General features: G+C 43.3%; 1 annotated feature.

The window, feature by feature from the left end:
- Nucleotides 7,354-7,855: an enhancer, noted in NCBI's record as "H3K27ac hESC enhancer chr14:54836737-54837238 (GRCh37/hg19 assembly coordinates)". NCBI's record gives its function as "activates a minimal SCP1, AML or CMV promoter by ChIP-STARR-seq in naive H9 embryonic stem cells {active_cell/tissue: H9 hESC(naive)}" and the evidence as "EXISTENCE:reporter gene assay evidence [ECO:0000049][PMID:30033119]".

Genomic DNA, 14,204 nt, shown 5'->3' with positions numbered 1-14,204 from the left:
CACATTGGCCCTCTGCCCTTGCAAAAAGGCAGAGGGTCTACTGAGCTGATTAACTCTTAAGCTATCCATGGACAGCAAGGCTAAAAGAGTGCACCGTAACACACACCCACTTGGGCTCCTGTACCTGTCCGTCTGCGTGCTCCCCCTCCTGTCAGGGGTTTGAGCAGCGGTGGTGACCGAACAGACAAGCCACACCCCTGTTGCCATCTGCAAGGGGGGTCAGGGAACTCTCCCATCTCAAAACGTTGTCTGTCAGGGAAACTCATTAGAGACTCGGTGACCAGGGTTTCTAGTGGGGGCTGATCATGCAGGCACCTTTGCCTGGCAGGTACTAAAATTTCAGACTCCCAGAAGGAAAGCAGATCTTCAGGATAAAAGTATTGTTTGCACAAAATATTTAGGTACAGTGAGGCTTTCTTATCAGAGATAGTGTTCTCTCTCCACAAATTCAAGTTTCCAGATACTAGCCAAGGGCAATCTTGCAAGCAGGTTTTTCTAAGGACAGCAGTATCAGGCTTGCTATGCTCTTTTCTGCACAGCATGATGTGGCAAAAAGTTCAAAAAGTTTTTGCCCAGTCAAGCTTGTCCTTGTTTCCCTCTTCTGTTACGATGAGAAAAACATGATTGATGTAGACCACTTATCTGAGGAGGAATATATGACATATAGGAAATAAAGCTGGGTCTCCAGCAGACCTCAGTCAAAATCAACCAATAACCCTAGGCATTCTCTGTACGTGAGGAGCTCAGCTGAGGCAGGTAGAGCTGTCCAGCTGAGTCCAGCTTAGGTAAGCTGACCCTCAGTCAATCCTTAGCTGACCCTTACATCTGTGAGAATAATTGTTTTAAGCCACTGTGTTTTGGGGTGGTTTGTGGCAGTAGCTAAATGATACACTAATTTAACACTCCCAATAGCACTATGAGGTAAATATTATTATTATTTTGGAGACGGGTTCTTACTCTGTTACCCAGGCTGGAGTGCAGTGGCATGATCTCAGCTCACTGCAACTTCTGCCTTCTGGGTGCAAGTGATTCTCCTGCCTTATTCTCCTGAGTAGCTGGGCCTATAGGCACGTGCCACCACTCCCAGCTAATTTTTGTATTTTTTTCCTTGCAGAGATGGGATTTCACCATTGTTGCCTAGGCTGGTCTCGAACTCCTGGGCTCAAGCGATCTGCCTGCCTTGGCCTCCCAAAGTGCTGGGATTACAGGCGTGAGCCATGGTGCGTGGCCGAGGTAAATATTATGAACTTCATTTTAGAGATGAGGAAACAGAAAACCAAAGAGGGAAATTAAGGTCCCGTTTATCCAAAGTCCCACAACTTATAAGTGGAAGGGCCAGGATCTGAAGGCAGAATTTCGGCTCCAGAGCCTGCATGCCTAACAATTGCTTGATGCCATCTTGGAGCTTCAGCTGGAACTGGGAGAAGGGCAAAGCCTCAGGTAAGAATAGGCACATCTTGTAAGGAAAGCAGTTGGGAGGCCAGCAAGCGAGAAGGGAAATCATTGTGTTAGGGAATCATGAAGAATCATGTTAGAACCTTCCTCTCCTACCTTTGTTTTGAATGTAATGTTGTGAAGGCAAGTTTTGAGATCTCAGGGGAAAAATGGAAAAGAAACCTCAGAATCATGTTCAGAAAACCTCGATGATGATGATGATTAATAGAGATTGGGCATCTGCTAAGTGGTGGATACTGCTAAGCGCTTGTAGTAATCATTGGTGCTGTCCAAAAATACCTTCAGTTTTTTCTCCAGGGCCCACAGTAGAATTTCACTTTCTTGCTTTCTGGAAGTAGAGATGGCCAACTGATAACTTTACTCTAGGGTCAGCAAACTACATTCTTCAGCCTGTAAGCTAAGAATGGTTTCTACCTTTTTTTATAGCATTAAAAAAAAATAAAGTATGTGAAAGAGACCACATGTGGTTACAAAGCTGAAACTTTTTACTATCTGGCCCTTTACAGAGAAAGTTTGTTAATCCGTGTTCTAGTCAATACACTGATAATGGAGGTGGCACGTGTCACATCCATGTGGAAGCTTTTAAGGGCCAGCATATGATTTTTCTACTTTCTCTTTTCTTCTGTCCTAGTTACAGAGAGAGGATCTCAGTCTGGAGTGAGGATAGTGTAGGTGGAGCCTTTACCTGACCTGCTGTGGACATGCAGTATGATAACGGCATAACATTATTGGAATTTTAAATCACTGAGACTTTTCTTTTTATTACTGAGGCATACCTAGACTATCCTGACTGACATAGCACTTTACAGACATTTAATCCACACAATTGCCCTATAAGATATTATACCCTCCTTTTGAAATGTATCCTGAATCAGATAATTTAAAACACATGAACACCACCATACTCCATATCATCATCATATCTCTCTTAGACTACTGTCACAGCTCCTGATAGCCTTTCTTTTTTTTTTTTTTTTTTTTTTTGAGGAGGAGTTTTGCTCTGTTGCCCGGGCTGGAATGCAGTGGCTTGAATCTCAGCTCACCGCAACCTCTGCTGCCCAGGTTCAAGTGAGTCTCCTGGCTCAGCCTCCTAAGTAGTTGGGATTACAGGCATGTACCACCATGCCTGGCTAATTTTTGTATTTTTAGTAGAGATGGGGTTTCACCATGTTGGTCAGGCTGGTCTGGAACTCCTGAGCCTCAGCCTCCCAAAGTGCTGGGATTACAGGCGTGAGCCACTGCGCCTGGTCTCCTGATGGCCTTTCTGATGACATTCCTGCCTCTTATAGACTGTTCTCATTAGTCAGAGACATCTTTTAAGAGTTATAATAGATGATTGCAGGATCTCATTTCTGGCAATGATTGGCTACATAGTTTAGACAGGTCTTCCCATTTAATACAACTAGGGAAGCTGGATAAAAATATTTTAAAAAATGTTTCAAGGCATCAGAGAGCTACTAAGGAGGTGAGAAATTATAGGGCAAAGATCTGGGAGGGGAGAGGAATGCAGAGATGTGGGTCTGGCATTTGGGGCTATTTGCCCCTAATGGCTGCTTTTAATTCTGAAAGTGGAGCTGTCTATGGACTCAAAGAGCCAGTAGATAAAAAATCGGGTTCAGGGCTTGTCGAAAAGGAGGGTCTTGATAAGAACCCAAGGCTTTCAACTGGGACTCTAAAGGGCCATACCCTAGGAGTAAGAGTGAATGAAAATAGGCCAGTTTCCAGATGATCTGAAGCCAGCTGTGAATCATCTCAGTCCCTGTTTGCCTTAAGATAATCTGAAACGGCTAAAACACCACAAATCAGCCTTGATTTATTATTTTGTTGGTAGTCTAGATCTGGATTTCTGAATCTCAGCAGTATTGACATTCTGGACCAGGTAATTATTTGCTGTGAGGGGCTGACCTGTGTATTGTAGGAGGCTTATTAGCATCCCTGGCCTTTACCCACCAGATTCCAGTAGAACCTTCTCAGTCATAACAATAAAAATGGCCATTGCCAAAAGTCCCCAGGAGGGCAAACGGCAGATTCAGTTTATAGTGTGCTATACCTCTAGCTGTTACGTTGTGAGTAGCACCAAAATGTTGAGGAAATGTTCTGTTAGTATTTGACAAGTGTTATCCTATTCAGTGGACTTTGCTCATGTCATTGATGAATGAATGCAATTCTTTGTTGTTTCACTTTTGTCTTGCTCATTAATGTAAATGAATGTGCCAATCAACATTCATGCTACAACTACACCCGTCCGTCACTTAAAAGCATACAAAAGTTGGCAAAAATCAACAAAAACATTTTATGAGAATCAATTGGCTATATGAAATTTACAGTGAGGAGTATTTGTACCTTTTATTATTACCTGTAAATTATTCATTTCAAAGAACTTTTGGATTGTTGACCCTCTCTGTTTTGTGGTGGTTTGCTGCTATTTTATTAATTTTTTTTTTTTTTTTTTTTTTTTTGAGACAGAATTTCGCTCTTGTTGCCAGGCTGGAGCGCAATGGCATGATCTCGGCTCACTGCAACCTCCGCCTCCCGGGTTCAAGTGATTCTCCTGCCTCAGCCTCCGAAGTTGCTGGGATTACAGGCGCTTGCCACCACGCCCAGCTAATTTTTTGTATTTTTAGTAGAGACGGGGTTTCACCATGTTGGTCAGGCTGGTCTTGAACTTCTGATCTCAGGTGAATTTCTGTTTATTATTTCATTTCTTTTTGCTTTGTTTTAATTTTTTTTTTTTTAAGACAGAGACTTGTTCTATCACCCAGGCTGGAGTGCAGTGGCACGATCTTGGTTCACTGCAAGCAGCCTTGACCTGGGCTCAAATGATCCTCCCACCTCAGCCTCCTAAGTAGCTGGGACCACAGGTGTGCACCACCACACCTAGCTATTTTTCTGTATTTTTAGTAGAGATGGGGTCTCGCCATGTTGCCCAGGCTGGTCTTTGAACACTTGAGCTCAAGCAATCTGCCTGCCTTGGCCTCCCAAAGTGCGGGATTATAGGCGTCAGCCACCATACCCAGATGGTTTTAATTTTTTATTCTTTAATTTCTTGAGACAGATGCTGTATTAGTTATTTATTACTGTGTAACAAGTTACCTGAAAACTTAGCAGTTAAGAAAAACGTAATCATTTATTCATTCCTTTTTCATCAATCTTGTTCTATTTTCCTCCTTTTTTTCGAATTTTTTGTCCTTTTCCTCATTCTCTTTCTGTCTCCCTCCCTTTTCACCTTTCCTTTCTCTGCTTAATTGCTTCAAATATGGGATTGAAATAAAGACCAAAGCATGGGTGGTAAATTGATGGCCAACAGGCTGAATCTGGTCAGGACATCTTGGGAGCTTGTACAGTGTTCTAATCATTGGAAAAGTCTACATTAAAAAGGGGGAGATGGCTGGGTTTGTTGGATTATGCCTGTAGTCCCAGAACTTTGGGAGGCCGAGGGAGGAGGATTGCTTGAAGCCAGGAGTTCAAGACCAGCCTGAACAAAGCAAGATCCTATCTCTACCCTAAAAAAAAAAAAAAATATATATATATATATATATATATATATTAGCCAGACATGGTGGCATGCACCTGCAGTCCCAGCTTACTCAGGAGGTCAATGTGGGAGGATCACTTGAGCCCAGGAGTTTGATGCTGCCATGAGCTATAGTCATAACACTCCAGCCTGGGCGACAGAGTCATACCCTGTCTCTCTTAACAAAAAAAAAAAAAAAAAAAAAAAAAAAAAAAAAAAAAAGCAGGGAACATGCGGGTGGGGTGGGGTAGATTTCTCTAAAAAAATCTGATGTCACAGCAAAGGGTCTGTTTTCCCACATGGAAACAATAAGCCAGAACTACTTTCCTTAATTCTCTCTTCCATTCCTTGAAAGGCCATTAGACCTCTTTTAGGCCAAATTATTTGTCCATAAGCTTCATCACTCCCTGTTGCCATATACAACCTTATCTCGCTTAATTCTGTTGTCTTCAATGTCCCATGGGCATTGAAGTTTGAGGCTTTTGAAATAAAATTGTATAATCTTCACTTTTTAAATTAACAAAGGGAATTCCTTCTCTGCAAAAACAGCCACCCTCCAACAAAACAACTGATAGAAGAAAATAAAACCAAAACTGAAGGCAACACTATAGTTAATCATGCAAGCCCTCTTTTTATGTGGCATAGTCACATCTCGTTACTCTTGTGAGTTGGGGTTATAGGAAAGGAGGCAGGGATTGGTCTAATGGGCTACGGGCTGGTTCTGTTAGTTCTCCACAGTGGGTGGCCGGTGGCCATGGGATTATTATGGAGCAGAGGGCCCACCACTTTCTGAATACCTTCTTATACATCTTCAGGCCAGATACAAATTGTATTAGGGTTCTCTAGGAAACAGAACCAGTAGCAGATACACACACATACACATACACATTATCTATCATCTATCAATTGATCAAGATATTTAGATTAAGGAATTGGCTAATATAATTATGGAAGCTTGGAGGTCCACATTCTGCAGGGCTGGCAGGCTGGAGACCCATAATAGCTGGCACTGCAGTTCAAGTCCAAAGGCTGTCTGCTGCAGAATTCCCTTTTGCCTGGTCAGTCTTTTGTTCTATCCAGGCCTTCAACTGATTGGATGAGGCCCAACTACATATGCAGAGCAATTGTCTTTAATCAAAGTCCACTGATTTACATGTAAATCTCATACAAAACAGTCTCACAGAAACATTTAGAATAATGTTTGACCAAATATCTGGGCCCCATGGCCCAGCCAAGACCACACATAAAATTGAGCGTCACAGGCATGTTAAATTTTACTTCATCTATTCACTCAGAAATTTTTTTTTTTTTTTTGAGACAGAGTCTCACTTTGTCCCCCAGGCTGGAGTGCAGTGGCGCAACCTCGGTTCATGGCAACAGTTGCTTCCCAGGTACAAGAGATTCTCCTGCCTCAGCCTCCCGAGTAGCTGGGATTACAGGTGCCCGCCACCATACCCAGATAATTTTTTATTTTTAGTAGAGATGGGATTTCATGATGTTGTCCAGGCTGGTCTCAAACTCCTGACCTCAGGTGATCTGCCTGTCTCAGCCTCCCAAAGTGCTGAGATTACAGGCATGAGCCACCACGCCTGGCTTCACTCAGTAAATATTTATGAGCACCATCTATACCCCAGGTACTATTCAAGGTGCTGGGAATACTGTAGTGAATAAAATAGACAAGATCGCTGCTTTCGTTTGGGTTCACATGCTCTTGGGAGTGATAGTCAGGTGGTGATATATGTTATGGGAAAAAATTAAAAGAGTGGGGCCTCATGAGAATGTTATTCTAGATAGAAAAGTCAGAGAAGGCATCTCTGCGATGTCATTTGAGAAGCACCCGAATGAAGAGAGGGAGTAAGCCATGTGAATATTTAGGGGAAGAGTTTTCAGTTTCAAGAGTAAGGAGATGCAAAGGCTGGGTGTGTCTGAGGAACAGCAAGGAGGCCAGTGTGGGAGGAGCTGACTGGGGGAGGAGGACGGGGGGGAGGAGGGGAAACAGGACCTTGTGAGGGCTTAAGAAGTTCCTACGTTGAAGGATCCAAGAAGAGGGTCCAGGTAAACGAATTCACACCTCTGTGTGACACAGGGGACAAGTCCTTTCTGGGTGGGCTTCAGGATGTTGGGTACTCCCTCACTCTCTAACTCTCACCTTCTCCCCATTCTCCCAGAGTTAGCTCCCCAGATTTTCTTTTCATTCTTGAGCATTAGGTGTCTGCTCATTTCCTCAGAATCTATTGTCTCCCCTACCCCACTCCCGGTGATGAAGGAAATCCCAGTCCCTTAGAGTGTCGTGCAAATTCTGCCACCTCTGGCGTCAGCAGGATGTGAGCAGAGCCCCAATCTGTTCTAGCTCCTGCTGACTCTGCAGAGAGGGGAGGACCAGCTCTGGTCCCACAGTAGGAAGGAGGTGGGGGGCTAGGGTAAATCAGGGGTGTTTCAGCTTCCATTTGTTCTCTCTGCAGGCAGGGTTTGCCCAGGTTTTCTCTTTAGCCCGTGACAAACACAATTCACCTCTGTGTTGTAGCTGTGTTTTTCTTCCCCCCGTGTAGTCCAGGGGTTGGCAAACGTTGGCTGATGAGACAAAACCCACAGGCCTGTTTTGTCAAGCTTCACACTCCTTTCTGCTGATATTATCTATGGCTGCTTTTGCACTACAACAATAGTGATGAGTAGTTGCAACAGAGACCTTATGGCTGGGAAGCCTGAAGTACTTACTATCTGGCTCTTTACAGAAAAATTTTGCCTACCCCTGGGCTAGTCTCTGAGAGAAGTATGTGTTTCTTCTAATATATTTTTTAAGTCTACTTGCAAAGCAATGATTCTGGCCTTATAATGCTAATGCGCTCTCTTCTGCTCGGCTTGGTCCCTTCATCATGGAGGGTCCCACATAAACAGACAAGGCCTCTGGCTGAGCCATCTGATTGGATGGCATCAGAGTCACCTGGTTTGCCTCTACTCCCCAAGATTCTCTCCTGAGAGGAAGAGGGGAGGGTTAAGTTCAGCCTGCCACACCTGTAGTCTTCAGTTAAATTTTTGGTGTATGACTGACTCATGGCTGTTAACAGAAATGTATGTGTGCAAAACAATGTGGAAGATTTTTCAAACTACCAGAGAGGAAAGTGTTAACACATGTTCATAGACAAGTGAGTCTGTTGAGAAGTGCTCAAGGAGAAATTAAACATCATTCCTATCCATAGTTGCACTTGGATGGGTGTTTTACCACTAGATCCATATTTTAAAAATATTTTAATATTAATGCGAATGGATTTGACATGTGTTAGGTAGAGAAGGCTGGAGTTTCAGAGTTGAATGTAATTTGGAAGGAACATACTTCCTCATTCTTGACATACCAAGTTTAAGATTTCTCACATGATGCTGGGCATGGTGGTGCGCTCCATAGCCCCAGCTACTTGGGAGGCAGAGCCAGGAGGATTGCTAGAATCCAGGAGTTTGAAGTGACAGTGAGCTATGATGGCACCAGGGCCCTCCAGCCTGGGTGAACAGAGTAAGACCATCTCTAAAAAAATACAAGAATTTCTCTTGTATGACCATCAGATGCAGTACATGAGGTCTGCAGTAGACATCTGGTATCCCCATTGCTTCTCCCTTTGGAGAATTGCCCCTCTCTTATTTCATGTGGTCTTGTTGGGCACATGGTTAGGACTCACTCGTAAATGTACCCTATTTCTACCCTATTTGTCTGGTCATAGTTGTGGGTCCAGGGAAGGCATATGACCCAAGCTGCAGCATGTGCTTTAGTGGCTGGTGCTCTCACTTTCTTCTTTACCTTCCCAAGCTTTCTGCTTTACCCCAAGATGATGCTGAGTTCTAATTTGCACTGGATAATTGGCGTAGATTGTAAAATTTATTTAAAATATTCATTAAATTTGAAAAATTCTATTGTATTTTATAATAGGAATAAATTGTGTTTTCATAACAGTATCATTCATCCCACTTACTCTGCTGTGATGTAGCTTGCCACTCCCCATAAAGAGGTGGAGTCCAATACTCTCTTCCTAAACATGGGCTGGCCCTAGTGACTAGTTCACCTAGTAGAATGCAGCACAAAGGACAATTAATAATAGGATCGATAAATTTTCATACCCGCGTAACCAGCACCCAGATCAAGAAATGGAACATTCCCAGCACCCAGAGCCTCCTTTGTGTCCCCATCCACTAGCCCCTTCCCAGGGTAACATCTCTTTTCTCTCCTGATGCCATGGCTTAATTTCGCTTGTTTGCGAATTCTATCTAAATGGAATCTTTTGTGTCTGGCTTCTTTTGCTTGACTTTGTTTGTGAGATTCATTCATGTTATTGTGTGTGGTTGTACTTGTTTGTTCTCATGGCAGTATTCCATTGTATGAATATATCATAAGTTATTCATCCAATCTACTGTTGGGTCATTTCCAGTTTGGGGCTATTATGAAGTGCTGCTATAAACATTCTTTTCTATGTCTTTTGGTAAACATGTTGTATACATTGCTGTTGGGTATATAACAGGAGTGGAAGTGCGTATGTTCATCTTTTAGTCGATACTGCCAAACAGTTTTCCAAAGAGCTTATATGAATTCACATTCCCACTAGCACTGTGTTATAATTCTAGCTCAACATCTTTGCCTGTGTAGTGTCTGTGTTATCACTTTAGCTATTTAGTGAGTGAGCTATTTCAAAGCAGCATTTAATTTCAAATGGTTGAAAGACTAACCAGTTGAATATTAGAATCAGTAGATGACATTCTTTAAGAGATAGCAAAAGCCCATAATTTTTAGGACCTTTTAGAAAATGTTTCTATATTACATGTTAATTAACCATGTGTAAATATTTTGCTGCATTATTTTATAAATGCACATATAATTGCAATGTATATATTTTGGGAGTATGTGCCTACTCTAGACCATACTAATATAAACTGAGTGGCTCCAAATTAAGAAGGTTCTCTAATTTAGACATAACATCAGTGAGTACCTCACACTCTGATGTGAGTACCTCACACTCTGATGAAAGAAATATTACCTGAGTTTTCCAAACATCACAGATTGGGAATGAAATTAAAGTCACAGTTATTATCCTTTACAAAATATTATTTCTCTGGTTCTTCCTCTCTTCACTGTGTGAAACTGCAGTCTCTCTACTCCTCATAATAGTTCAGTGAGTCCTCCAGGATGGCCTCTGTATCCTCTAAGATATAAGAGCAAGGCACCCACCATCTTCTGGCTCTCCTTTGCTGGGGTAAAGTCTCAGATCACTGCCCAAGCCCACCAATGTCCCACTTTACTGCAATGCCAGCTGCACCTTCTCTGTTGCTGCTGATATTGCTGGCACAGGATTTTGCTAATCCTTGCAACTTCAAGGTCCTGCGGAAATTTTAACAAAACAGCTCTTTTTAGTTTCATCTGCTTTTAAGATCCATGGCACCTGGATCAGAGGGCGCTGGGGCTGACCACCACTGGGAGGCACCAAGACTCGTCCCTCCCCTCTGGCCCTGTCTTGATGTCACTGAACTCAATTTGTGTGCTTTGACTTTCTCTTCCCTTAGGGTGAGTTACTTCCCAGGAGTCCTCTGGCCTCTCCTGTAAACAATCCTAGCAAGATTACCTCACCCTCTGCTAGCTGTGCTCAGGCCTGGGTGAGTCCTGAGAGCTTGGTCTCAAGCTGAGGCTGACCGTGTGTCCTCATCGGCATAGGTTAGTCCTGGTTTGTGACTGTCGTACTGGCATAATTATTAACAGCTCTCCCTTTCACTCTTGCAAGCCTCCTGCTTTGAATGGTTAATTATACAGGGTCACCCTCTCTCAAGCCATCTTTAGGAAAATGTTACAGAAGTAAAACAATCAACAACACGTTTTAAAATAGTCAAGAAATACACTATGTAGAGAAGAATTTTGACCTCCGATGGCTGGAGTGAGCATTGCAGTAATCTCCTAGCCTGTGGGTCTTGCCTTGCCTCTCAGCCCCTAGCTGGCAGCTACTTGGCTCCATCTACAGGCTCTGCTCTGCTCTGGCTGAAGACTATTTCTTCCTTTCTCCTGTGGTTGAAAGAGATCACAAGATATCACAAGGGGGGATTGAAGGAGCTGGGGTAGGATGCTCTGAAACCCAGCCAGAGGTTAATCATTGTGGTGGTGGGTCCTCCCCATACCCTCGTGCCCAGTTTTCCTAACCTGGCTTTGGCTGTATTCCTGAGACAGTTTCTATTTCATTTGTTTCCTAGTTCCTAATGGGCCCTAACAGTCTCTTGCTATTTCCTCCAATCCTTGGCCTGCCTTGGACCTGGACTCTGGCTCCTGACCTCAGTGACACAGGATCTGCCATCCACTGCGTCTCTCTTCACATGGCCTGCCTTACCCTGTTGTCTCTCCCCCTTCCCCAAAGTGCAGTTTGCTCTTCTTGGAAGCCACGCTGTAATCTCTCGTACTTGCATGTGGGGTTTCCACCAGGAAGGCAAGGTGCTCTAGCAGAAAGGAAAAGGGCTCTGAACTCAAAAGACCGGATTCAAGTCCTATTTCAGCAATTAGCCACGTGTCCTTGGATAAATCACCGAGATACTTAACCTGAATGATAATTCCCTCATCTGTGGCAGGTAGAATGAAATTGCCACTTGAAAATGGATGAACTGACTTCTGAACTCAGAGGATTTCCTGCTGAGTTTGGTATCAATCAGTTGACTGGGGCTGGGTTAATCTTTGGGGAAGTCAGATTTCTGAACTTGAGGAACTAAGGCTGTATGTCAAGGATGCTGGGATAATCAGCTTGGAACCAACATGATTCCCAACTTAATTTTAGGGGAAAGTTCAGCCAGCTTCGGAAGCTGGGCTATTCACCTACCCAACTGCTCCAAGCCCAGACAGGTCTTGAATCAGACAACTCTCACAGGAGAGTGTAACTGGCATCTTTTCCCCATCTCATCTTGTTGGTTTTGGTAATGAGATGAGATTGGGTAGTTAAATTTGCCAGGAATGGAGAATGGCGTGATACTCTTAAATCTCTATCTTTCAGGAATACTTAGTTCATTTTATCTTATTTTATTATTTATTTTTTGAGACAGGGTCTTGCTCTGTCATCCAGGCTGGAGTGCAGTGGCACAATCATGACTGACTGCAGCTTCAACCTCCCAATCTCAAGCGATCCTCCCACCTCAGTCTTCCGAGTAGGTGGGACACAGGCACGTGCCACTACGCACAGCTAATTTCTTTTTTTTGGTGTTTTTTGTAGAGACAAGGTTTCACCATGTTGCCCAGGCTGGTCTTGAACTTCTGGGCTCAGGCAATCTGCCCGCTTTGGCCTCCTAAAGGCCTGCATTTACAGGCGTGAGCCACTGTGCCCAGCACTTAGTTCTGCTTAAATATAATCTAAAATAAGGAGAAAGAGCCTTATTTTAATCACTTCATACTGAAGTACATTCAGAATGAGTTGAGAACCCATGTCTTATAAGAATCCATATTAATGACCAAAAATATAAAACAGAAATGGCAAGGCCATCCAGTAGTTCTGTTCTTCCTGGAATGGGAGATGGCAGCCGAGAAAAGCAGGATTTCAGTAAACATCTCCCTCTTGTGCAGAAATCCCCAGTCCGGGATTCAAATCTGATTAAGTGAGTCAGGCTTGCATTTATTACCGTATATTACAAACATTTTTCAGCATTCAGGAGTGAGTGGTGTCTCTGTGGATTTGGCCACTTCCTGGCAATTATGCACTTGGCTGCTAGTGCAAACCAGCATGCCAAATGCCTGGAATGACGATCCATGTCTGAGCAGCTTTCAGTCTGGGAAGGATGTTGTCCAAACATCACGTTCCTTCCCGAGGTGGCCAAATCCTGGTTACAGTTCTGTCCTTTAAATCTATGTATCCTGAAACTTGGCCAGAAAGGATATGGCCACATCCCTTTGCCCCTTTCAGCTTCCGCAGCAAACACCTGGGGGAACTTGCATTGATTTTGCAGTGTCTGGCGGCTGCTTAGTCCAGAAGTAGTTTTGTGCTTAGTGCCTTAATCAGAAAATCACATTCTGAACATAATCTGTCAGGTGGATTATTAGAAAACACTAATTCTTTCAGAGACTAAGTCTGGAAGCCTGGTGAAATTCCAACTGAGTGATGGCATTGTTTTTCTGAAATGCCCTTCCAGCTTTATTTGCATGAGTATTAGCCAACCTGTCCAAACTGTAGCTGATTCACACTTGTTTGCGCTTCAGAAAACAGCCCTGGATTAGAAAGAGAGTCTATCTCTTGGCATGCCCTGTACAGCAGTGGGTCCTGGTAAAACCAAACAGTTTTAATGAAATTTAGCAAGGACTGTCTTGGTATACAATTGGCTCTCTGTCTCCACTGGTTTTGCATCCACAGAGTCAACCAGCCATGGATTGAAAATATAGTATTCACGGGATACAGAACCCACATATATGGGGGGCCAACTTTTCCTATCATTGGGTTCTACAGGGCCGGCTATGGGACTTGAGCACTTTAGTATCTGCTGGGGGGTGAGGGTGGCAGAGGTGGGGATAGGGTATCTTGGAACCAATCCCTTTGAGATACCAAGGGATGACTGTATATGGAGAGGACTAAAATGTATGCTCAATGAGGTGGGAATTTGGTCTGTTTACCATCTGTTGAATGAATAAGTGAACGAGCTTGTGAGGCTGAGGCAGAAGGATGGCTTGAGCACAGGAGTTCAAGACCAGCCCAGGCAACACAGCAAGACCCCTGTCTTAAAAAATAGTGATGAAAAATAAATAAGCAAATGGATAATTATAAACTTACCCTCTTCTTAATTACATAGTATATATCATCTTGTCCATTTCTTATTTCCTTTTAAGTTTGTCACTTTCTTTTTATTCAATTTAGATAGAAGGCAGTTAAAAGCCTTTCTCTATGAAATAGGCAAATGGAAAGTGAAAACGCCTTGACTAGAGTCCTGTGCCCACTTGTCTTTTTGCTTATCCCCCACTTCCTCCCATGAGCTTTGCCATTGTCTTCAAGAAGTAGCCCCACTCCCCTGCTTTCTCAGCTGGTGATCTGGCCTTCTATCTGCCCCTAACAACACTCATGTGTTTTTTCCTCTAGTCCAAATGAGGCATCTCTTCTATAATGAAAACCCCTTCTCTTCTGTGGAACCTTGCAGCATTGGTTACTCCTCTCTCCTCTGCCTTTTCTTCAGTATTGGCTTTTCAGAGTCCATAGAAGAGCTCAAGTCTCTCCAATATTAAAACAAAAACAAACACAAAAGCACAAAAACAAAA

Source organism: Homo sapiens, chromosome 14, assembly GCF_000001405.40.
Source record: "Homo sapiens chromosome 14, GRCh38.p14 Primary Assembly".
NCBI classification, from domain to species: Eukaryota; Metazoa; Chordata; class Mammalia; order Primates; family Hominidae; genus Homo; species Homo sapiens.
The sequence above is the reverse complement of the archived record's forward strand: the minus strand, read 5'-3'. Positions and strand labels throughout refer to the sequence as shown.